A 26941-nucleotide genomic window follows, 5' to 3' on the forward strand; every position below is an offset into this window, starting at 1 on the left:
TAGTACCGCGTTTAAAGTCCTTATCACAGTGCCCGGCACTGAGAAAGCTTTCAATCTTTATTTTTACCTAAAAAATTCATATTGTGCTTATTATGTGCCAGGCCCTGTTCTAAGCGCTTAGCATATATCAATTCATTTCATCCTGTTAACGACCCCATCGTATAATTTTCTTTTTGAGACAGAGTCTCATTCTGTTGCCCAGGCTGGAGTGCAGTGGCATAATCTCAGCTCACTGCAACCTCTGCCTCCTGGGTTCACACGATTCTCCTGCCTCAGCCTCCTGAGTAGCTGGGATTACAGGTGCATGCCACCATACTCAGATAATTTTTGTATTTTTAGTAGAGAGAGGGTTTCACCATGTTGGCCAGGCTGGTCTCGAACTCCCAGCCTCAGGAGATCCACCCACCTCAGCCTCCCAAAGTGCTAGGATTACAGGCATAAGACATTGTGCCTGGCCAACCCCATGATATAAATATAGATATTAGTATTGTTCCCATTCTACAGATGCAGAGCTGACACATACAGAGGGTAAGTCCCTGTTCAGAGTCCCACAGCTGGTTACCACCCAGTTAGCCTGGCTCCAGACTCTACTCTCTTCATGCTGCACTAGGCTGCCACTATGGTTTGAACGTGTTCCCTCCAAAATTCAGGTGTTGAAAGTTAACAGCCAGTAAAATGATATTTGGAGGTGGGGGCCTTTAAGAGGTGATTAAGCCATAAGAACCCCTTTTTCATGAATGAGTTTAAGGCCCCGGAGGCTTCACACAGCAGTGTTTGTAACTTGCTCTTCTACCTTCCACCAAGTGAGGACACAACTTCCCTCCCCAACAGAGAGTGCAGCCCTCACCAGACAATCCAACCCACCAGTGCCTTGATCTCGGACTTCCCAGCCTCTAGAACTGTGAGGAAATAAATTGCCATTCTTCATAAATTGCCCAGTCTCGGGCACTCTGTTTTAGCAGTACAACATGGACTAAGATAGCTGCTATTCCATTTTTCAACATTGCTGGAGCCCACATGGAGAATTAACTAGAGCTCATGGAGGCCGAAAGCCCAGGAGCTGAGTGAGAAGCTCCACAGGTGGTGTCTTGGCACAGACTTGAGCGGTACAGTTACTGCTACCATGACCCCCAGCAAGCTGATCCATAGAGATAACCAGCAGCCAGCTCATTCCATCTTAAACCCAGATGGATCCTGAATTATCTTCTATTACTTAAAAAAAAGAAAAAACTTATCTTCATTTTCCCTTTTGCACTGATACGAACAGACGTGGAGAGAAGATGCATCCAACAGTACCATATCTCCAGATAAAGAAGCAATGCTGAATCATTCCTTCAAAGTGAAAGTGTTTCAAAGAACCTGCTGCTTAATTCAACCTTTACTTCAGAGATACACTGAGTGGAAAATCATAATTTAGTGATAGCTTGAAGGACTTCCTGAACTCACTAGGGTACGAGTAGGTGGGGGATGGGGGTCTGTTACGGGTTTGTGTCCCCTCAAAAAATACATGCTGGCATTCTAACTTCTAGCACTTAATTTGAAATAGGATCTTTATGGAGTAATCAAGTTAAAATGATGTCATTAGTGTCGGTTCTAATCCAATACTACTGCTGTCCTTACAAAAAAGGGGAAAATTGGACACAGAAACAGACACACATAGAGGGAAGATAATTTGAAAAGACACAGGGGCCAGTTGCAGTGGCTCACACTTGTAATCCCAACACTTTGGGAGGCCAAAGCAGGAGGATTGCTTGAGCCTAGGAGTTCAAGACCAGCCTGGGCTACATAGGGAGACCCCCATCTCTACAATATATTAAAAAATCAGCTGGGTATGGTGGCGCGTGCCTGTGGCCCCAGCTACTCAGGAGGCTGAGGCAGGAGGATCACTTAAGCCCATGAGGTCAAGGCTGCAGTGAGCCATGTTCATGCCAGTACACTCCAGCCTGGGTGACAGATAGAGACCCTGTCTCAAAAAAGAGAGAGAGAGAGAAAGAAAGAGGGAGAGAGAGAGGGAGAGAGAAGGGGGGGACAGAGAGAGAGAGAAGATGACCATCTGCAAGTCAAGTACAGAGGCCCAGAACAGATTCTCCTCACAGCCCTCAGAAGGAAACAACCCTGCAAAGAACTCATATAAGCTGGACAGTGAGCAGATGCTAGACAATGGGCAGAGACAGGGAGCTCAGTGCCCCCAGGCAAGACCAGCAGAACCCCACTCTTGGCATAAGAGGGTCCACATGCTCTGAGTGGAGGCCTGAGGTCGTTCATCAACAGAGCAGCCACTTCAGGCCGAGGGTGAGTGGTGCCTAAACTCCCTGCTTCCCACAGAGGAAGGGCCAAGCCACACAGCTCAGCAAACATCCATTTCCCTTCTCCTTCCTCCCATCTGACTTGCTGCTGACTGAGGAGACCCTGAGAGAGTCCCCACTCTGCCACTGGGGTCACCTGCCCACTGAAGCCAAGAAAAGTCCCATCCAGCTCAGCTCCCCTGGCCAGCCCTGAACAGGCAAGGAAGCCCCTTGCTCTAGCAATTCTATTTCTAACCCCCGCCCCCTCGAGGTTGACAGTCATCACCACTGAGGCCTATTTTATTAAAACCTGGGACAGGGGTATGTTCCCCTTCCACAGGTTCCCTTCCACCTAGATTAACCCTTTGCCTAATTGGCAGAGGTGTAGCAAATGAAGGCAGTTGAACCTGAGGGTGCTACCCTGAAAAAGCAGAAGTCCTTCCCTGTATATTCTTTTATTATTATTATTATCTTTAAAGACAGGGTCTCACTATGTTGCCCAGGCTGGTCTTGAATTCCCAGCCACAAGAGAACCTCCTGTCTCAGCCTCCCAAGTAGCTGTGATACAGGTGTGAGCCCACCACGCCCAGCCTTCCCTGTATACTCTTATCGTTGTCCTTGACCTCAAGCCTTCCCTTGAAAGTAACTATAGGCCTATGTACCCCAAACCTCTGTGCAACCTCTGGTCACTTACCTATGAACACTCCACTCTGCCCCCTTAAATTTCACTCCCCTATATGCTCAGTGATCGCCATTCTGGGGCTGGTGCCGTGGAAAGGGATATATACGAGGATCAAGGATGATTTGCACTCTGTAAAATATTGCATTTATATTCCACACCAGCTTGAATTAAACCCTCCAGATTTGTAGGAATTACCTTTCTTACTGAGGTTTGATTACTTCTATGATTTTGATCTACCAGGAGAAAAAAGAAAATGTACAAGATATAAATTTAAAAAACAGAAAAGGTAGCTCCAGATATCTGACAATATTTTTCTTAATACAGAACATATAGATCCTAATTGCCTTCAAACAGCTATCGCCCTGTGGATGAAATAGAGATATCTTTATTTTTAATAAACAACAAGAAAAGAATCCTTTATGCGGTGTTCGCGTGGAAGCACCAAACATCTTGCCATGCCAAGGATCAAATAACTTTATTAATTGACCAATTAAAGCCTTAACCATTCCTACTATAGTCCAAGAATATTCAATAACATGGGGAAAATATTTGTACAACAATGTTAAGGGGTAAACAGTAGAATTCAGAATTATCTATTACATAATATATGTATAATCACACACAATTATTCTGTAAAGGCACAAAAAATGAAATACTTTAAATAATGGTCATTATAGCTGAATGATGAGTTCCAGGCAATTCCAGCATGTTTCTGTATTTTCCCAATTTATTAAAATAAGCTTATATTACTTTTTTAATCAGAGAAAAAAGTTACATTGTATCTTAACCATTTAACAATTATATATCTACTTTATAAGTATATGAATATCCAATTAATTTTACATACCAGGCTGCTAGCCCATTAGGAAAATTTTATAACCAACCCCAAAAGTTATTACAAACTGTGTACTGGAACCCATAGAAGCTCAAGATATACAACTGCAAACAAAAATTAAAGAAAATATATGAGGTGTTATCACTTCAGCAAGGATAGTTTTTGGTAATTGATTCTGTTTTAGTGTGCCACTAGAAATATATCCTCTTCGTTTATGTCCTCTCTTGCTTTCTCTGAGTGTATAAAATGACAGCTTATGCGGAAATCAAGTCGAGGTCAAATTACCAATATTCTGTAAGTGGCTGGAGGTCAGAATTACCTCCTAAAGAGCCCTGAGCCCCAGAATGAGTTTCTATTTATTCAGCATTCTACTTCCCAATCTCAGCTAACAAGGAAAAAAAAAAAAAAAAAGGAGAAAGGGGCAAAATGGGTTCCAAACTCAGGGTTCAGCCTGTGTTTTCAAATGACCAAGAAAAACAAAGGCATATGCAGGCACAACCAGACAGAGTACAGGGTAGAAGTCCCTTGTATTTGTAAAGGCAAATGTTTGATTAGTTCTATTCAGCTTGAATAATTCTAGTTGTGTGATATAAGAAAAAGAGAAAAAACTGTACCCTGGCAAACAGCTAAGAAATCCTTAATGGGCTTTGAGGGTTCCCTATATTCATTATATTTTTAATGTAACGGGCAGCCACCATGTGCCATGCATACTGCTAGAAACATAAGATGCCATGAGAATGTGGCCCTAGATCCTTGGAAGAGTGGGGCTACTTCTTTCCCAATTGTTGAATCTTTTTATGCCTATTTTTGGTTTTAATACATGTTATGGAAGCATAATCGTCCTTCCAAAAATACTTGGTAACCAACATTGGTTTAATGGTGTATAAAATTTATTTTGGCTTTAACAAGGCATCTGGATCACAGATTCCTATAAAGGTTGCAAAGTCAGGCCCCAAGTGATACAGTCCATGGGACACTGCCTTTCCCATCCCTATCCATTCCTCCTGCTCCTACTCCCAGCTGCCTTGTGTGAAAAGGTCAGTTGTACTGGTTTGCCCAGGATAATGAAATGTCACTGAATGAGCTGCTATAACACTAACTATTTTTACTGCTTTTGCATGTTCCTTTCTACTTTTATCTCATCTTTGAAAGATGTTTTACGACATCTTTGCAAGATGAATGGAAAAGGCAATGGGGCATGCACTGAAATGTGGACTATGCTAAAGCTTTGCAACTCAAGACCAAATTCCACATAGATACTTCCTATTCACTTCCATAGTCTGCTTGCTGCTTTCCCTGCCTCCTCCACCCTATCCCACCCCAACCAATTCAGATGGACTTCAAAAATTCAAGTCCAGTAGGGCACAGTAGCTTATACCAGTAATCCCAATGCTTTCAGAGGCCAAGTCAGGAGATCACTTGAGGCCAGGAGTTCAAGACCAGCCCAGGCAACACAGTAAGACCCTGTCTCTACAAAAAATATAAATAAATAAAAATTTTAAATTAGCTGAGCATGGTTGTGGGTGCCTGTAGTCCCAGCTACTTGGGAGGCTGAGGCAAGAGTATTACTTGAGCCCAGGAGTTTGAGGTTATAATGAGCTATGATTGCACCACTTCACTCCAGCCTGGGTGACAGAGTAAGACCCTATCTCTAAAATGAATGAATAAATGAATGAATGAATGAATAAATAAATAAATGGATTAATTTAAAAAAAATCAAATCTGATAATGATATTACCTGGCCTAATCCTTTCCAATGGTTCCATGTCACTTACCAAGGACAGTCAGAACTGCTCATGCATATTCCAGGCCTTTCTGGTCATCCCTGCTGGCTCCGTCCCCACTCCTGCAGCCAATGTGACAGCCCCACACCTGTGCACATGCATTCCCCAAACCCGCACCATCCTCATCCCATCTCATCACCAGAAGAGCAACTCCTATCTGCACAAGCATCCCATCTTCCATGAAACATGTTTCTTAGAAAAATGTTTAATTAGGAAAGAAATTTAAATCAGTACCTTCTTTGAAGAAGACCGGAGGGATGGGTTTGGCCCTGGAGAGAAAGTTATACCCAATCTTAGAGAATCTTACCCTGCTTTTTCTTTTATTCAGTACCCAGTAACTACTGATGAGGTGGACTCTGTACCACACATTGATTTCACTACTAAAGCCCCAGGAGAATAGACAAGTCCTGGAACCAAGCGGGGCTGGCAAGACTTTATGGGAAAATGTGCATAGAAGTAAAACATGCAAACAAGGTATTTTGAGTCCTTGTGAAATATACTTCTGCAGAAGTATATCTTCCACTTTCATCACTGTCCCCAAGAACGTTTGGGGAATAAGGTGGCCACTTGGATAGCTAAGCTGCAAAACCATCAGATGATACATGTAAATGGCAGGTTTAAGAGAAAGAATAGCTCCCAGTCCAGCAATCCACCCATGGGGTTGGATTACCATGTCGAAAGACAAAATGTGCTCCTTGTAAACTAGAGTGGCCAGCCATGGAATCTGCCCAGCCTGTGGGCAAATGTTGGCAGGCCCCATCTAAGCACTGTGCAGGGAAGGGGCTGGCCCAAGGACTCCAGCTGCCTGGCCCAGGGGCAGCTCTATCTAAATGAAAGAGTGTATTAATTTCCTAGAGCTGCCATAACAAATTAGCACAAACTGAGTGGTTAAAAACAACAGAATTGTATGGTTTCACAGTTTTGGAAGCCAGAAATCTGATATCAAGGTGTCATCAGGGTTGGCTACTTCTACAGGCTCTGAGGGACAGTGCATTCCATGCCTCTTTCTAGCTTCTGGGGGCTGTCAGGAATCCTTGACACTCCTTGGCTTGTAGCTTCAGAACTCCAATCTCTGCATCTGTCTTCACATGGCCTTCTTTTCTTCTCTTGTAAGGATATAGAATTTGTAAATTGACACTGGATTTAGGGCACACCTAATCAAGGATGATTTCATCTTGAAATCCTTAACATAATTACATCTGCAAAGACTCTTTTTCCAAATAGGGTCACATTTATAGGGTTCAGGTGGACACACCTTTTGAGTGGCTCACCATTCAATCCACTGCAGAAAGCATACATTATTCTGACTGAACCTTTGCCACTGATATCCCCAGTTCTGAATCCAAGCTGATCACACTTCTTTCTGATTGTGATTTCATTCCCCAGGTAATCAGACCTGCCTGGCATTTTTGAGAATCCAGGCTCTGTGCAGTTACATTTCTTGTAAAAAATCAATGGATTGGAGATCCGGTTTTACACTTGAGTCTCATGAGAGAGGTGTGTGTCTGTGCTAGAGAGAGAAACAAAACCATCTCTTAATGTGTTCAGCCAATCTTCTCTGAGCCTGCCAGCCTAGGGCCAAACCCAAGCCTGGCAAATTCTCCAAGGTAAGCCATCCTGGGAGGGCCCTGGAGACACTGCCTATCTGCAAAAGACCCTCTGCTATGCGTGGCCAAGTGAGGACCGAGAATCAGTGCGAACTAGAGCTTCTCAATGAGCCAGTAGTCACCCCCGATCCTTCCACCCTATGTCTGTGCTGACCAATGGGGTGCACAGTAGTGTGCACTAATGATGTGACCCCTTGGATTATCCTTTTGGAAGATGAAGAGTGGAGCCAGTCAAGAGGCAGAAGAAGAGATAAAGAAGAACCTTAAAGACCATCCTGACTCCCCATGAACTGTCTCAGATTGAGCGATGCCCACTGTTCAAACACAAGTGTGACCAACCCATGGCCAGGTAGCTGCTGCCTGAGAAGTAAGGGCCCTCTGCCCTGGAATTTCACCTGCAGCCTCTCCTCCCCAAATACACTCTGCCATGTGTCGTTGAACCTGAAATCATAGTTTCTAAGCCTCTCTCAGCTACTGTCAAAAAAGCCAATAGGAATAGATCTACATTAAGACTTTTTAACCCATTTTGTGTTGCTAGTTTTGTAATTGCTGTTGGTGTTTTTACATGATTTCCAAAAGATCTGGCTTCCTGGAGAAGCTGGCAGTTTTCCAGTGATCAAAACTATTCTGTGATAAGAAAAGGATTGGCCGGGCGCAGTGGTTCACACTTGTAATCCCAGCACTTTGGGAGGCCAAGATGGATGGATCACTTGAGGTCAAGAGCTCGAGACTAGCCTGGCCAACACTATGAAACCCCGTCTCTGCTAAAAACACAAAAACTGCCAGGTGAGGTGGCAGGTGCCTGTAATCCCAGCTACTCGGGAAGCTGAGGCCTTGAAACCAGGAGGTAGAAGTTGCAGTGAGCCGAGATTATGCCACTGCACTCCAGCCTGGGCAAAAGAACGAGACCCTGTCTCAAAAAAAAAAAAAATGATTAGGAATTAAGATTAAAGGTCACAATGACACTATGTGTGTGTCCTCAGGGAAGACATTTCAGCAGAGAGATAAAAGCTTCCGGGTGCTTTCATCTGTGAGTTTCCAACAAACCTGTGAGCCTCCGGCAGTTGTAGAAATTCTCAGACGAGATATGAACTCATTTCCAGACCCACGGACATTGAAATAGGGAAGAAGGACCTGATGTGAAAGGACAGAGGTAAGGGCCAGTTTGTAGCACTAGAGCCAATAACTGGGAACCTCATAACTCCAACTGAGTCATCCTGGCTCATGCTTCTGAAGTTAATTTAACTTAAAGAAATATGTTTTTCTTTATGGATGAAGTGCATGGGTCTGTGCTGGGTGTCCTGCCCAGCTTCCCTTCATTTTCTGTGCCAAAATCAGCCAAAATGCTGTGTCTGTCCATCACTTTTGGCCAATCAAGCAGAAATGCAGGGGCTAGAAGCTCTAGCACATTCCTGTCCCATTTCCTCTCTGTCCCCCATGATAACAACATCAGCAGGAGATTGTCCAAAACTGGCAGTGGTTTCTGGAGGGAAGGAAATGGCTTCCTAGTGGGAAGGATCAGGGCAAAGGCTATGCATGCTTTTGCTTTTCATGTCAGACCCAATGCCTCTGTGCCACTGCCCGATAGAAAAGAAAGATTGTGGAGGACGTAAGTGCTAGAATCATCACATGAACATCTTCAGGGACAATGTTCTAGAGGCTCACCTCTATGGTCCTTCAGATGGGAAATAGCAATATCATTTCAGGAAATATCAATGAATTTAATAACTAAACATTTCCTGTAAAGAGATAAAGGAAAGAATGACACATTCAGCTGGCAAAAACTTTGGTGTCTAATATATGCCAACTCTTCCTTCTCTAAAGGCTTCAAAAGTCAAGGCCCATGTGAATACAGAAACATCACTGATTGAGATGAGCATGGTTATTCAATATACTTCTGCCATAATGACACTTCCAAATGCTATCTAAGAGTTTTTCTGCAAGGAGTTTGGAATCGCTCATGTAAACCCATTGATATTTTTGTTACATTGCAAGGTTTTTCCCCTAAAGTAAGGATCAGACAACAGCCTTCAATGATAATTTTTTAAAAAGCTTCCTGCTTTTTTTTTAATGGAAGTTTTCTTTTTCAAAGGTGAAGGATGTTGTTTCTCATGATAGCTTTGTTGCCACCAACAGAAACTCAAAGTAGAGATCTAGAGGTGAATCAGGTAGGATTACCTACATTGCTGTTCTTGGAACGCAGCTCCACTTATGGGAGAATTGTCAACTATTTTAATATTCTATTTTCCAGGAAAACATAGTCCCATGTTCAACAGAAGCCCAGAAAATTCCAAAGCAGACAATCAACAAAGCAGACTCTGTCACCAGGCAAGATACAACTACATCTGGGTCAACAACATGAAGAAATACGTTATCACTGTGTAAATACGAACAGTTCCAGGAAACAGATCTTTGCATTCCTGCCTTTTGTTTCACTGAAACCAGGACATGGAGCTCATGCTTCCAGACAAATGTCAAGTCTACTTTGACCCTGGCTTTCCCCAAGTACATGAACCCTCCAGGGAGGCAGAGAGTTGCCTGGCTGAAACCAAAGAATCTTCTGGCCACCCCCAAACCTGCCCCTGGCAATGGCCTATACAAAGTAAGTCTGAGAAATGTAATACATCTTAGGAATGCACCTGGAATATAGCAATATTATATCCACCCAGGGAAAAGTCTTCCTGGGGATTAGAGTGGGCTCTGAAATTTGAGGCTTCTCAAGCTTTCATAATTGTTATCCCAATTAATGTAACTGCAGACACCATTCTTATATTCCCAGGTACAATAATGTCCCGTTCCTTTGAAGCTCATCAAGCCATTTGCTTCAACACTTGAGGAGGCAAGCCCCAAGGTTAACAGCCCTCCACGTGAGCCTCTCATCTGCCTGCTGTACAAATGTGTTTTCTTTGCATTTCAGTCATGCCCTGACCTTGGAGAGGACGATGTAAAGGGGAATGCCTAATTAACTTTCCATTTATAAACCAATTATTTTACTATTGGCACCTTCATTCTGCAATCACTGACATAAAATCTTTTACAAAACAAAATGTAATAAATGAGAAATCGATTGGATTTTTTTTAAGTTTGCTTTGAAGTCAGCCATTAATAAGAAATGTCCTTTAATAAGAGAGATCTGTCTATAGAAGTTCCTCGACGTCAGAGCCCAGCTGTGCGGCTGCTGGAGGAGACGAAGCCGCATTCAATCAAGGCTTTGGAACTCTTCCTTGTTCATCTTTAACTGCAAGGACAGAGGCGTACTATTTTTCTTTTTTTTTTTTTTTTTTTTTGGTAGAGAGGGGGGTCTCCGTAGGTTGCTCAGGCTGGTCTCAATCTCCTGGACTCAAGCAATTCTCCTGTCTTGGCCTCCCAAAGTGCTGAGATTACAGGTGTGAGCCACCACACCCAGCCAGTACCAGAAGGACTGCTTTTCTCCTTAAAAAAGAGGGAAAGAATGTTTTCACATAGATCTTCATGTGCTAAAATCACACCAAAAACTCATGCAAGGTCAATGAAGAACAAAGTTCTCTGCTCCCACCACAGAATCTTTGCATTGACTGTCACTGTCCCGGACACTCTTTCCCAGAGGTCAGCATGGTTCTCTCCTTTATCTTCTTCAGTTCATCATCAAGTGTCACCTTTTGGTGAGACCTTCCCTCACCACCCTACTGACAACTATAAACCAGCAGCCCCGACATCTGCATCCCTTCTCCACCCTGCTTTCCTCCATAGCACTCCCATGCTTGACATTCTTTACATTGGGTCTACTCCTCCCTTTTGATTATTCCACGCCTCCCCACCATGAGAATGTAAGCTCCATGAGGACAGGAAGATCCCAGCAACACCTAGAACAGAAGCCAACATAGAGCCAGCACTCAATAAATATAATGAGACGTATACATCAAGTATTTACAATGGAAAGTCAAAATACCGCTGCCCATCATGAGCAAGTCATTCCCCTTCTCTCCACAAAGATAGACAGTGTGGTGAAGCCACTGCCCAGGTGAGTCGAGAACAAAGAAGAGAGAGAAAAACTGCTCCTGTTCTCCAACATCAGATACAAAGCACCGTGCCTTCCATGTCACCTGGGAGCCCAGACTCAGGCAGCTACCATGATCCCTGCCCACACCTCCACCTGAAACTCCAGAGGGAAGAGGGGTAATGTTCCCTCTGGCTTCTAGCTTGCTCGTGGCTTGCTGGTGAGTTGTATCCAGGGCCAGCTCCATGGGAACTGCTGTAGTCACACCCAGGGTCCCATACTCAGAAGAGTCCCAAGCTTGGTTTCATGCTCTGCTGTGGCCGTCTGGAAATTCTTTCCAATTTTACCTTTGAACTTGGGACAGTGGAGCATGCATATGAGCAGAAGAGATTCATAAAACCAAAAGAAAAACTTTATATTTTAGTACCTTTAGCAGCATTTTTTTCTCTGCTTTTTCAACAAGCAGATCCACATTTTCTTTTTGTACTGAGCCCTAAAAATTACGTAGTTGGTCCTGGATGCATTCATGTTCTTTGTGGAGGGAAAACTTTCTAAGGTGGAGAAAATCCACTCTGTCTAATGGTTCTGTTCTCCCAACTTGATAGAGGTGTGGCCATCTCTTTCTGGCTAACAACAGCAACAACAAAGCTTAGATTCTAATAAATCCCAAATCAAGGAGAATAATTGAGCTGATTAGTTGCTTTGAAGGAAAGAAATAATACAGAAAATTCTTTTATAAAAATAATTACTGGAAATTTTAATAAGCTAATTTAATAAATTTTCCCAGCTAATAAGAGTAGCTGGGAAACTACTTTTGTTGTTGGGAAGCTATTTTTGTTGTTTGGAAACTTCAGAAAGTTATTTACTGAAGTCATATGACAATTTCTACTACATGTGCACCATGTACCAAAAGGGAATTGTTTAATCCACCTCTTCCCAAGGGCAGAGTCAGGATTCGTGGACATAAAACCCAAGGCTTTACAAATACTGAAGAGAACTTGGCTATTCAACAATTATGTGTATTAACAAAAGGCAAAATGCATCATTAATTCTATAACTTTCTAATTTTGAGAAAACTCCATAGACTCACAGGTTAAATTAAAATAGAAAAAATTTAAATGAATTGCTAAAATGTAAAAGTTAGATGGATCATTCGTATGTTGAATGATAATGATATCCAAATTTGATAAATTTCAAAAGATCAAAAAGTTTAACTTCATATAACTTGTGATGGTTAATACTGAGTGTCAACTTGATTGGATTGAAGGATACAAAGTATTGATCCTGGGTGTGTCTGTGAGGGTGTTGCCGAAAGAGATTAACATTTGAGTCAGTAGGGTGGGGAAGGCAGATTCACCCTTAACCTGGAGGACACAATCTAATCAGCTGCCAACAAACAAAAAGCAGGCAGAAAAACGTGAAAAGGAAAGACTGGCCTAGCCTCCCAGCCTACGTCTTTCTCCCGTGCTGGATGCTCCCTGCCCTCAGACATCAGACTCCAAGTTCTTCAGTTTTAGGACTCAGACCATATATATATATATATATATATATATATATATATATATATATATATATATACACACACACACACACACACACATATACATATATATACACATATACATATATTTATATATATACACACATATACATATATATACGTATCTTCTATTAGTTCTGCCCCTCTAGAGAACCCTAATACACCAACAGAGTCATATTTTCCCAATTTGTCAATCCTTCCCTATTTCTCTGTCTCTACTATTCTATAAAAGATAATACAAGACCTAGGAAATAAAATCAAACACCTACAGAAGTCAGACATGTAACATAAACATGTGAACCAGGCTGAATACAAGACAGAAGGGGTAAGACAGTGGGACTGCATGTGTACCTTCTAAATTTTTTTTTTTTTTTTTTTTGAGGCAGAATCTTCCTTTGTCACCCAAGCTGGAGCACAGTGACGCAATCTCAGTTCACTGCAACCTCCACCTCCTAGGTTCAAGCAATTCTCCTGCCTCAGGCTCCCAAGTAGCTGGGATTACAGGCATGCACCACCACACCCAGCTAATTTTTGTATTTTTAGTAGAGACGTGGTTTCACCATTTTGGCCAGGCTGGTCTCAAACTCCTGACCTCAAGTGATCCACTCGCCTCAGCTTCCCAAAGTGCTGGAATTACAGGTGTCAGCCACCATGCCTGCCCACTTTTTTTAATCAAGGAATCTTCTGAATTTTTAATCAAGTCAGGATCTTCTGAAAAGCATAAACCAGGGCAGGATTCAATGTACAAGTAATTTATTAAGAGAAGCGCCTATGAGTCTCTTATTCAGGCTGCTATAACAAAATATCATAGACTAGGTGGCTTATTAACAGCTGAACATGATTTCTCACAGTGCCAGAGGCTGAAAGTTGGACATCAGGATGCCAGCAGCAGTGTTAGGTTCTGGGGAGGGCTCTCTTCTGGGTTGCAGGCAGCTGACTTCTTGTTACATCTTCATATGGCAAGACAGGACAAAAGAACTCTCTGAGTGTCTTTAAAGGGAACTAATACCATTCATGAGGCTCCACCCTCATGACCTAATCACCTCCCAAAGGCCATCACATTGAGATTAGAGTTTCAACATATGAATCTGGGGGGCAAAGACATTCAGTCCATAACAGAGACAACATGAGGAGCAGGCTACTAGAGATGTTAGACCATCGTGTAGGTCTGACCTGCATGAAGGAGAGAGGGAAGGAAGCAAGGTGAATTAGATGCTTCCTCAACTACAGTGCATTTCTCCAGGAAGTTCTACAAGGCCAGTTGGGAGGCATCAAGCCACAGTCAGAGGCATCACCTCTCCCAGAAACAGGCCTGTCTGGGTATCCCACCTTGCTCAGTCATGAAAAGCAAGGTCTCGGGCCGATCAGTGATGGATTTCAAAGCACAGCAGCTGGGGCTGTTGGTCAACGATGCCAACTGCAGTCATAGATCTGAGGCCATTCTCATATCCTCCATAGTGCCCAATAGAATACACCTGAAGGCTAGCAATCTGAGCCTGCCTAGGCCCTTGTTAAACTCTCATGCTTCATTCTCTCACCAACTGTCATCTCTCCATGCCTATACCTCACTACCGACCAAATGAAAGTGTAGCTATCCATTCCATTCAGAAACATGGAAAGAATTCATTCCTTGAAAAACAGACCTTGCAGGACCTGTGCTAGGAGCAGACACAACTTCTAAACAAGCTGTCCTTACAGATCTGTTGGAAATCAGTCACTGGAGCTGCCTTCAGGCCAGAAAGTTTGCATCAGGTGTTCAGGTTGTTCTGTTTCCCCACAGAGGTCACAATGCCCTTGACTGAATGTGGCTCCATGGTTGGATAACTTATGCAGGAATAAACCACGATTAAAAAAATAATAACAAATGTTTATGCCAGCTTTTGAATCATAAAGCAATTTCCCATCCTTTCCTTTTCATACAGAAAAGTGTTCCCCTTAGGAAACTTCCAATGATGCCACTGATTCTTCCATGGATGCAAAAAATTGTGTTAGTGTTGTATTTTCAAGGTTGAGAAGGAAAAAACAAAAACAGCACTAGCAAACCGAGAACCTGTGAAAATATCGGTGGTAGTGTTGCCACACAGAGAGACTGAAAATATAATGGCTGCATTCCCCAAGGTAGTCTCAAGTTACCAAAATCATTCTGTGGAAGGCCGAGAGAAAATAAAGGAAAAGATCCCTGTAAATACGGAAGCAGTGAAGAGAGTAGCAATAGAAGGGCAGCCCTTTAAAAACAAAGGAATTATAAAACATGAAGGAAGACTAACAGCTAAGCCTTCAGAGGAACCAGAAGAAAACAGGCAACTGCCAGAAAGCCCAAGAACCCTCATACTCAACGTGTTCCCCAGAAAACACCCTGCCCTAATGTGTGGGTTTGTTGTTGTTGTTGTTTTCAGGAAATGGAAACCCCATTTCTTCCATTGTACTCATCAGAAACCTATCCATGTTTGACAACTTCTCTCCTTCACTCCTATACAACCACATCACCCAGTCTTCTTGGTTTCATTTTCTCTTGAATCCATCCACTTCTCTTAACCCTAATGTCCACCCTGGTCCAAGTAAAGGTCACATTTTGCCTACTCTTTAACGATGGACCATCCAGCTGGTCTCCTTGAGTCAACTCTTGCTCCACACGCCCATCATTCTCTAAAGAGTCCTCAGTGGTCTTCTTAAAACATAAATGTAATCCCAGCACTTTGGGAGGCCGAGGTGGGTGGATCACCTGAGATCAGGAGTTCAAGACCAGCCTGCCCAATATGGTGAAACCCCGTCTCTACTAAAAATATAAAAAATTAGCCATGCGTGGTGGCATGTGCCTGTAATCCCAGCTACTCGGGAGGCTGAGGCAGGAGAATCGCTTGAACCCAGGAGGTGGAGGTTACGGTGAGCCAAGATCATGCCACCGCACTCCACCCTGAGCAACAGTGAGACGCCTCTCAAATAAATAAATAAATTAATTAATTAATGGGATCATATTGTTCCACTGTAGTCTAAACCTCTCTAGTGGGTTCCAATCCAGTTTTCATCACAAAATCCCTCATGCTTGACAAGATCCTGCATGTTTGTAACCCCTCCCTCTCTAACATATCCGCCCCATCTCCTCAGTCCCTACGCAGCAACCACACGGGCTTTCTTTGGGTTCATCAAATATTGTGCTCCATCTTGCCTCAGAGCCTTTGCAAATACTGTCCCCTCCACCTTTCCTCCCTCTCTTTGCCTATTACTTCCTGCATTTCCTGAAGCGCAGAAGCCAGTTCCTCAGGAAAACCTTTCCTAACATGCCCTGCCTACCCCATCCCAGAATAACTCAGTCTCTCTCTCTCTCTCTCTCTCTCTATATATATATATATACATATACATATATATATATTACACTTTTTATAGCATGGCTGACATTTTTAGCATATTTGTAGGGTGGTTTGACTAATCTGTTTTTCTGTCTAGACTTAACGCAGGAACTATGCCTGCCTTTAATTTTCTCAATTATTTCACCTGTGGCTAGCCCAGCACCTGGCACATAGATGAATAATTGGATGGATGGATGGATGGATGGATGGATGGATGGATGGATGGATGGATGGATGGTCAATTGATCCATTGATTGACTGATTGCTAAGTACCAGAATATTATAAAGCCATAAGCCAGAATATTATAAATCCATAAGCCATCTTTCCAGGGGCAGAAATAAATATCAAATGTAGATAAAGGCTAATAGGTAAATATACCACTTTTTTAATGTTTTAATTGCTGAATAGGTGCTATATTCACATACTTCAAATCTAAAAGATGTCCACTGAGAATATTTGCTCCTGTTCTGTGTCCTTCCACTCCATTTTTCACTGCCTTTATAAGTAACTAGTTCAGTAAGTATCTTATATTTGTTGTGTTTCTTTACACAGATACAAGTAAATGTTATTTTCACTTTCTTACACAAAAGAGAGAATAGTAGACACAGTGTTTGACACATTGGATTTTGTTGTTGCTTTTGTTTAAGGTAACAACATACCCCAAAGCCCTCTGATTCATTCCCTAAGAGCTTCCTTACTCTTTTGTACAGTTCCATGGCAGTCCATTGTATGGATGCAGCATCCTTTATTTAACCCTTCCCATCCTGCTGCTTAGTCTTTTGCTATTTGAAACAAGGTTCTCACTACATCATCCAGGCTGGAATGCAGTGGCACGATCTCAGTTCACTGCAACCTCCACCTCCCAGATTCAAGCAATTCTCCTGCCTCAGCTTCCCAAGTAGCTGGGATTACAGGCACACGCCTGGCTAATTTTTGTGTTTTTAGTAGAGACGGGGTTTCACCATGTTGGCTAGGCTGGTCTTGAACCCCTAACCTCAAGTAATCCACCCACCTTGGCCTCCCAAAGTGCTGGGACTACAGGCGTGAGTCACTGAGACCCATAGCATTTTAAAGTAAAGGTTCATAAAAGTTGAAAAAAGGTAAGTTAGGAGGTGGTGGAGTAAGCCTTAAAGACAGAAATGCCTGGGTTTGAATATGAGTTCTGGCCATCATCAGCTATGTCAACTTGAGTTAGATAAACTTTCTGAGCCTCAGTTTCCTCATCTATAAAATGGAGACAATATTCCTCTAGACATGGCTGAGGATGAAACAGAATAACACAAATGAAGCATTTAACTTCTCTTGCATGCTCTCACGCAATCCATCACTTCAAACATCACCCATCAAGGAAGGCTCCCAAGTCTCCTTCTTCAGCTGAAACCTGCCCTGTTTTTCCAGGTACCTGCTGGATTCTTCCTCTTTTATGTCTTGTATGCCCCCAATCTTTGTTTTGTTTTGTTTGAGACAGTCTCACTCTGTCGCCCAGGCTGGAGTGCAGTGGTGCAATCTCGGCTCACTGCAACCTCCACCTCCTGGGTTCAAGTGATTCTCCTGCCTCAGCCTCCTGAGTAGCTGGGCTTACAGGCACACACCATCATGCCCAACCAAGTTTTTGTATTTTTAGTAGAGACGGGGCTTCACCATGTTGGCCAGGCTGGTGGCCTCAAGTGATCCGCCCACCTCGGCCTCCCGAAGTGCTGGGATTACAGGTGTGAGCCACTGTACCCAGCCCCACATCTTTAAATTACAAAATATCCAGAACAAAACCTTCTCAAAAATGCCATTTAAAACTGTATTATTTTCCTGCACTTCCCATTTACCCAAAGACCAAGATAACTGAGAGTTTTCTTCTACCCCTGCTTCTCCCTTTACCCACACTCTCAATTCAGTCACCAACTCCTGATAATTTTTTTCTCCCAAATCTTCTGGAATCTGTTTCTTCCATTTATTTCCATTCTGACCCAGAACAGGTGCCCAAGGTTTCCCAACCAGACTATTGCAAAAAAAGGGGGGCCAGACTAGTTTGACTGACTCTGGTTTCATAACCTTTCAGGACAACCTCTCTAACCAGTCCAAAAGTGATCTTTCTAGAATACAAACCAGGCCTTGTTTCTCATTTGTTTGCCCTCCACCTTCTGTGGGTGGGTGTCTAAAGGAATAGCATGTAAACCATATAAACCACAGCCTTCTCCCAGGCCGCACCTCCAGCCCCTCTCCTGGCCTCTGGCCACAGCAAACTTCTGCCTTCCTCTGGGAAACTCTCTCTCTCAAGCCTCCTTCTCTTTGCACAGGGAACTTTTCTATATGCTGTTCATTCGCTCATTCATTCAGCAAATATTTTTAAGAGCCTGATATATGCCAATTATCCTTTAACTTTAAAAAGGATGGTCTGGCATGCCCCAGACTACTTAACTCCTAGAAACTTCGTTGATGTAACAGACTCCTGAATTTGCATAGGGTTGACCTCCCACCACTGGTACACAGGTGTCTTCTAGGACAGTGTTTCCCAACCTTGACACTATTGGCATTTGGAGCCAGATAATTCTTTGTTTGGGTAGGGGGCTATCCTTTGTGTTGTAGGGTGTACAGAAGCATCCCTGAACTCTACCCAGTAGATGCCAGTTGCTCACGTCAACCAATTATAACAACCAAAATATCTGCAGATGTTCCCAAATATCCCCTGGGGGTTAAAATCATCCCAGGTTGATGCCCTGTATTAGGGCATCTATGATACTTGCTACTCCCAGGTCAGTAAGTCCAATTAGCATGATGTCACTAATAGGTGAGACAGAGCAATGTTCTGCAGAATGTCAGCATGATCAAGATCCCTGCAGACATGCAGATAGTGAATGTATACTGCTATCCTTGCCACGGAAAGGCCAACCACTGCAGAGTCCCCCTATTGATGGAGGTTGACAAGAAATCATTTGCCAGATCAGTAGTCACATATGAAGTTTGAGAAGGCGTGTTGCTCTTCATCAGTAAATATAGCAAACCCAGCACAACAGCTTCAAGGGGCTATCACCTAATAGCATCTGCCATCATTTATCTGGTTTTTACACGGACACAGTGGGTAAACTGAATGGAGATATTATGGGGACCACCACCTCCTTGCAGCTTTGATGTTCTTGATGATAGCAATCATATCTGTACTTCCTCCTGGAATGCCTTGTTATTCCTGATTGCCATCTTGAATAATGGGGAAAGAACAGTTTCCGATACTTTACTTGGCCCTTCCCACCATAGTTCCTTACTCCATAAGTGGGAGTTCTGCCAACCACTAAATATATCTACCCCAATTGTATATTTGGGGACCTGATAAATAACCACAGGGTAGTTTTTGGACCCAGTGGACCAAATGGACCCATTGTGAAACAGACTTGGGGTAAAACTCTATTTATCACCAGACTTCCTAAAACTGCCAATCTAACGGGACAGGGCAGGTGGGGAGGGACAACATAAGGCATTTAATATTCCTTGGTATCATTTAAGATCCCTTGGTATTGAAGCAGCTATGTTGTCTGGGGTAAATACCTAGGGTTTGTCATCTCACACCAGGAAAATTTAGGACACAGACACACATGAGGCATTTAGGAGCAGAAGTTTAATAGGCAAAAGAAAAAGAAAGGAAAACAGCTCTCTTTCTCTAGTGAGAGGGAGGGAACTTCCGAGAGGAAAAGGCCCGCTGGCGGCAGATGCGCCAGATTTTATAGTCAGGCTTGAGGAGGCGGTGTCTGATTTACATAGGGCCCACAGATTGGTTCAAGGTGGTGCCTGATTTACATAGGACTCACAGATTGGTTCAAGGTGGTGTCTGATTTACGTAGGGCTCACAGATTGGTTCAATCAGGTATGATGTTTACATACCACTGGGGAAGGCTGGCCACCCACCCTAATCTTACTTAGCAAATGAAATTTCCCCTTGGCTGGGTCATGTTGTCTGTTCCTTACTGTACACGTGGCTATCAAAGAAAAGGGAAGATGGAGTTGCTATCTTGAACATGATTGGCACAGCTGCCAGCATCTATGTTGGCAGCTTGATTTTACAGGCTGCTCTTTGTTAGAAAATGATTTGGGGCTGCTTTTCATTAAAGGAAAAACCTTACCGAGGATTTCCGTACCCTCACTACCTGCCTAAGTAATTTCTTCTTAACTCCTTATCAGTATCAGCTCAAACCTTGTATATTACTAATCCTCAAAAAGTCTGAATTGTCCCTATTCTCTGGCACTAGTTACTTGGGGAAATGGGTGCAAATTCCTTAAAGGGGAAGATTAGAAGAACACATTTTCAGGTATACTGTGGAAAATAGAAGGGTCCTTCTTCAAGGAAGCCTAAGTCTTCCCCTCAATCCACACATCAGTCATTGCAATAAAAAATTGTAGACTCTCACTCAGTTTTCAAATGTATTTGGTTGGTGCAAAAATAATTGCAATTTTGCCATTAAAAGTCATGGCCAAAACCACAATTACTTTTGCATCAACCTAATAAGCCAGTTTGAAAACTTTACTTCAAGCCGGTTTTCAAACTGGCTTACATTTGAAAACTGAGTGAGAGTCCACAATTTTTTATTGCAAGGACTGATGTCAACCTTCTATTCTCCAGCTTTCTTTTTATTATTATTATACAATCTTAATAACATCCTAGTTAGCTGTCCTTCTGTCTCATGCCTAGGAACACCAGGATCTCTTAACCATTGCTACAAATCTCTGAAGGTTGAGGCACCCTAAGTACTATTCTTCAGTGTTTCCAATTATAATCATTATGGCCACCTTGCCTCTGGTGGTTACGAGTTGCCTTCTAGTTTTATAATTCTGGAATCTCACTATCCCCATTGATATAAAGAAGTTCAGTTGCAGCCGGGTGCAGTGGCTCACTCCTGTAATCTCAGCACTTTGGGAGGCCGAGGCAGGAGGATTGCTTGAGGTCAGGAGTTCAAGACCAGCCTGGCCAACATGGTGAAACCCCATCTCTACTAAAAATACAAAAATTAGCCGGGCATGGTGGTGGGTGCCTATAATCTCAGCCAAGGCAGGAGAATTGCTTGAACCCAGGAGATGGATGTTACAGTGAGCCCAGATTGCACCAATGCACTCCAGCCTGGGCAACAGAGTGAGACTCCTATTAAAAAAAAAAAAAAAAGAAGAAGAAGAAGTTCAGTTCGATGGAAGTGTCTACACCCATAACCCCTGCCTACAGAAGACAGACACTAAGATTCTCAAAGATATTAGTGAGCCCTTCACTTGTGTACTCCTGCTGCATTCATAGCAAAAGTGTCTCCCAGTCTTTTTCAGGAAACACGGTGATGTGGCAGGTTCTCAGGATTTACATAGTAAATTCATTCTAACATTCCCAACTCCTTGAGCCTTAACCCCTTTCTCGACATAATGCCAAATATGCTCCAGCATCTCCACCTTATCAATTGCAGCCGTCATCCTATCTAAATGTCATGGAGCTGTCTCAAAAGACTATTAGGACCAGCTCCAGGTAATCATGATGATCTAACACCCTCAAGATACGCTACTACAAGGTGTTTGCTAATTCGTGCCTGCCAGCTCCTGTAAGCCTTTGACACATAGACTGTTTTCTCCTGCAGCAGGGATTGTACTTCCTCATTGAAGCTGTGCTCAGGCCTGACTCTGGTTGTTAGCCAGGACATAATGAGAGATAGTGGGGACAGATCTGGAGAAAAACAATGATCATTGTGTGGAGCACCTCCAGGTGAGGTCATAGTGTAATGCACTGGGAAGACGAGGCTGTTCTCTCCCCAGGTTGTTGGGAACAGCTTCGGCCAGCCAGGAAGCTTCAGGGAATTGGGGGCTACAATATTCTCAGCCTTGGCCACGCAAACATCACCATCCAAGGTCTTGGTGGTCCACTCTCCTGTCAGGTCTTTACTTTGACACTGGGGCGGTGTTAAGGCTGTGCATTTTGCTTCTTTTGCATTTCTGCCACCCTTATAATCAGATCCCAGGTTTAATAACCTTCTGTCCTGTGGGTTTTAGAGATGAGAACCTCCTCTAAAGTGACTACAGAAATACTCTGGCTTTCAGACAGGGCCTCCAGGTGGCAAATAGCTGCCCTGCACTTATTATTTTCTTTTTGCAAGGCTTCCAATGCCTTCAAAAGTTACCACCCACATCCAAGTCCTTAGGGTTATTATTGCTCCAAAATGCATCAAGTGCTCCAGTGTCTGATAAGTCAGTACTTTGGCTTCCTCCTCTGCCTCATCCTAATTAGCTTCAGATAAAAGCTTTTGTAATTGTGATGCTACAGAATGTCAGAGATTGTCACCACCCACTTGCTGCTACCAAAACCCATCAGAAGCTCTGCTTTCTGGGGCCAAGTTTCCCTGGACAGTAGAGCCTTGGGCACACGTTTACGTGCTAAGACTTCACTGACAAGTGCAATCCTGGGGAAGCAGGAGTATGAGGGAGACCAGTGAGGCAAGGAAGAGGAAGATCAAACATGAGGGCGTGGGTTACTGAGCTGCTTTTTTGTTTTGTTTTTTTTTTTTTGAGATGGAGTTTTGCTCTTGTTGCCCAGGCTGGAGTGCAATGGCGCAACCTCAGCTCACTGCAACCTCCACCTCCCAGGTTCAAGCGATTCTCCTGCTTTAGCCTCCCAAGTAGCTGGGATTACAGGCGTGGGCCACCACACCCAGCTAATTTTTGTATTTTTAGTAGAGACGGGATTTCACCATGTTGGCCAGGATGGTCTTGAACTCCTGACCTCAGGTGATCCACCTGCCTTGGCCTCCCAAAGTGCTGGAATTACAGGTGTGAGCTACCGTGCCCGGCCTACTGAGCTGCTTTATAACAGCCTGGATGATGGCTTGATCTCACATAATGTCTTCAGGAAGGTCACATGGATGCTTGCATCTCAGAACAGTATGTGGGGCAGGGCATGAGATGGAGAAGGGAAAATAACTAATTAGCCAGTCCCTTCCTATCCATCACCTCCTGCTGGGCAAAGGTGGTGACAGGGGGTTTTAGTTTCTCCATGCTTTCTAGATGCATCCCCCGCCCTCTTCAGGTGAAGCTTCTTCTAGCCAATTCGTACTGCATGGAGAGCAACTTGGCCTGTAGTACAGGCAGCAACAATGGCAGCAATGAATTGACTTTGTGACTGCAGGACCAGCACAAGCCATGGCTGGGGCCAAGCCAGCCAGTGGGTAAGAGAGGTGGGCAGCTCTGTGGTGATATAGAAACTGAGTCAGAGACAAGCCCTAAACTCAGGCCTCACATTTGAATATAAATAAGCTCATTTCAGCACAGGCGCAAGGTGCAGTGACTGGCAAAGTCATGTGAAGTCCTTTCTGATCCTTTGCAAACTCATGCCCTTAGTTTTTGGGGTTTGGATGGGTTGCTTTTTTGTTGTTTGTTTTTGTTTGTTTTTTTTTTGTATGTTTGTTTTTTTTTTGTTGTTAGACACAAGGTCTCTCTCTGTCACCCAGGCTGGAGGGCAGTGGCACAATCACAGCTCACTGCAGCCTTGAGCTCCTGGGCTCAAGTGATCCTCCCACCTCAGCCTCCCAAGTAGTTGAGACTATAGGCACATACAACCACACCCAGCTTATTTTTTAATTTTCTTTTTTTTTTCTTTCTTTTGTAGAGACAGTATTTTGCTATGTTGCCCAGCTGATCTCAAACTTCTAGCCTCAAGCAAACCTCCTGCCTTGGCCTCCCAAAGCACTGGGAGATTTTGTTTTTAAAAAAAATGAAGCAGTCTGGGTGTGGTGGCTCACACCTGTAATCCCAGCACTTTGGGAGGCTAAGGCGGGCCAATCACGTGAGGTCAGGAGGTTGAGACCAGCTTGGCCAACATGGTAAAACCCATCTCTACTTTAAAAAAATAATAATAATTAGGCAGGCGGTGGTGGCTCACACTTGTAATCCCAGCACTTTGGGAGGCCAAGGCCAGTAGATCACCCGAGGTCAGGAAATCAAGAACAGCCAGGCCAACATGATGAAACCCCGTCTCTACTAAAAATAACAAAAATTAGCCAGGTGTGGTGGCATGCACCTGTAATCCCAGCTACTCAGTTGGCTGAAGCAGAATCAATTGAACCTGGGGGGTGGAGGTTGCAGTGAGCTGAGATCACGCCACTGCTCTCCAGCCTTGGTGACAAAGTGAGTGAGACTCCATTTCAAAAAATAAAAGTAAGAAACAAAGCTACATCACAGCTAAAATGTTAACATTTCCTTAATGCATTAATTGAACCTGAGACATTAACCACAGATTTTCAGGGAATTATGCCTGTTCAACCAATAAAGCTGATGTAGAAAACCAGAATTGTTTTAAATGATGAATTCTATCCCATTGGGCACATTCTTTCAGCTCACTATTGCTATTCTGTCCTGTGGATTTTTGCTTAATTAGCTAGACAAATTGCACAAATTCTGCAATTCTATTTTTACTTTAACTATGGCCAAAGCTCCTTTTCAGTTTCTCATAGCTTTCTACCCTTCAGCTGCTAGACGTCCCCAGTTATAAGGCAACTCGAAGTGTGTGCAAGGGACAGAAGTTTGTATATCTGAAACTACAATTTGGTAAAACACAAGACAAAGGGGGGAGGAGAGAGGGAGAGAGAGAGAGAGAGAGAGAGAGGAATAAGAGTCCTATTTGCACTTACCATGAGCCAAATTGAATTTGGGGGACTTGAAATATTTTAATTGTAAAATGTACTATATCGGGCTTCATTACAGATTATGCTCTTAAAGGTGCATTGAAATTGACCATATTGTATTTTATCTAAATTAAGAAAATTCTCTTTAAAGACCCTGCATTGAATCTTTTTCATGCTAAGTATCATTTTGTGATATGAATAATTGCAACTGATTTTATCTGTTGTATATATTCACATTTATCCAGAAATCTTTCAGGAGGCTATCCTTGTATTTCACTTGTTTGGTTTAGGACTTAGTATCCAAAGCGTGCTTTGCTTTTATATTAAATGAATAGTACAGTGCAATACAAGTCAATACAGACCAAAAACAGGAGCAACAACAGAAATGTATTCAATGGTATGACAGTAACTTTTTCATGCCAACAAGGTCCTCCTTGTACCTCCTTTGTACCCATTTGTCCTGGGTACAAGGTACACAAGACAACGCACGGTCGCTATATTTTTCTGGTTTTGCATTCAGTAAACCAACATTCATGTGGCATTTGAATACCAAGACAGGGCAAAGTTTAGACAGTCACCTTTCATTTTCATCTTTCATTATAATGAGACTTGACGTAACCAGCTGTCTTTGAAGTGCATGTCACGAACATGCCCATTTAACTCCCTGCTCTGCCAAAGGCCTACGGAGGAGCAAGACTGATTGTCTTGATGTACACAGAGCCAGCACAGTGTTCATCTATAATATGACTATGGAGAAGGGAGAGACTTTTAATAAAAATATCCTGTATTCCAACATGAATCTTTCAGACTGGATGAGAAAGGATTTCTTAGACACCCAAGCTATTAACACTTGGTGGCCAGTCACGGAGTACACTGCCAGGCACACAAAAGGCTCCCTCAAAACCATGCATTGCTTTAGGTCCTTAACTACTTTCCAATTTATTCATTTTCTGCAGTACAGTAGGAAAGAAACTTGCATAGATGAGAACCACATAGGAAAACACGCTAGGGATATGACTTTATTTTTTAATTTTTTAACTTAAATCTTATTTTTTAATTAATTATTAAACTATTGATTATTTTTTAATTTTACAAACTACAGCCAATTGTATAAAAATAATTTGTTCAATAATTCATTTTTTCTCCACTGATTTAAAATGCCTCCTTTGGCAGGGTACAATAGCTCATACCTGTAATTCCAGCATTTTGGGAGGCCAAGGCGAGTGGATCACTTGAGTCTAGGAGTTCAAGACCAGCCTGGGCAACATGGTGAAACCCCATCTCTACAAAAAAAAAAAAAATACAGAAATTAGTGGGGCATGGTGGCACACACCTGTAGTCCCAACTACTCGGGAGGCTGAAGTGGGAGGATGGCTTGGCCCTGGAGATCAAGGGTGTAGGGAGCCATGATTGTGCCACTGCACTCCAGCCTGGGTGACAGAGTGAGACCCTGTCTCAAAATAAAATAAAATAAAACAAAATAAAATGCCTCCTTTATTACATGCCAGTTTCCCATGTATAATCCTCATACAGTTGAACACCTTAAGAGCAAAGACTGAGATTTCCCAAAGAAGCAGCAATTCTGCCTCAAGATACAGAAACCCTGCCCAAGTTTCCAGCCTGCCTGGCCTGGCCTGCAGAATTCAGAATCAAGACTGCAATGTCAATTCTTTATTTTATTCTATTTGTCTCTTGGTCTATTCCTACACCAGCATCTCTCTCTTTTAATTAGTGAAACTCCATTGTTCCTGTTCACCTCAAGGAAAGTGAAAATCTCTCCATTATTCTTTTTCAAAGTTTCTTGCCTTTTCTACTGCCTTTGCTTTTTAGTTTAGAATAAAATCTGCAACAGTATCATCATCCACATTCAGCCTCAAAGGAAGTTCCTTCCCTTCTTCCTTTACCCAACGTATACTAATTAAGCATCTACTGTGTGGGGGTCACTGTGCCCAGGGGCTGCTCTCACAGTGATCCCAAGTGTCACACAGCCACAGTCTAATAGACTACAGACTAGTTAATAATGACTTTCTGGCCAGGCTTGGTGGTTCACGCCTGTAATCCCAGCACTTTGGGAGGCCAAGGTGGGTGGATCATTTGAGGTCAGGGGTTCAAGACCAGCCTGGCCAACATGGTGAAACCCTGTCTCTACCAAAAATACAAAAGTTAGCCAAGTATGCTGGCATGCATCTGTAGTCCCAGCTACTCGGAAGGCTGAGGCAGGAGAATCACTTGAACCCAGGAGGTGGAGGTTGTAGTG

The 26941-nt window shown here is 43.1% G+C and overlaps 1 long non-coding RNA gene across 1 annotated transcript in view, besides 1 other annotated feature; it reads right to left on the reverse strand.

The window, feature by feature from the left end:
• Window positions 8470-9669: an enhancer, noted in NCBI's record as "BRD4-independent group 4 enhancer chr21:37324968-37326167 (GRCh37/hg19 assembly coordinates)". NCBI's record gives its function as "activates an origin of replication core promoter dependent on BRD2, P300/CBP, MED14 and CDK7 cofactors, and independent of BRD4, by STARR-seq in HCT116 cells {active_cell/tissue: HCT116}" and the evidence as "EXISTENCE:reporter gene assay evidence [ECO:0000049][PMID:35650434]".
• The window catches only part of LOC101928269 (uncharacterized), a 50008-nt gene continuing 33526 nt past the window's right edge, over window positions 10460-26941 (reverse strand). The window contains exons 5-6 of the long non-coding RNA NR_110418.1: window positions 25875-25967; window positions 10460-10625 (exon numbers count right to left, since the gene is read on the reverse strand). This is a non-coding gene — a long non-coding RNA (uncharacterized LOC101928269). The remainder of the gene's footprint in view (window positions 10626-25874; window positions 25968-26941) is intronic.

This window comes from Homo sapiens, chromosome 21 (genome assembly GCF_000001405.40).
Source record: "Homo sapiens chromosome 21, GRCh38.p14 Primary Assembly".
NCBI classification, from domain to species: Eukaryota; Metazoa; Chordata; class Mammalia; order Primates; family Hominidae; genus Homo; species Homo sapiens.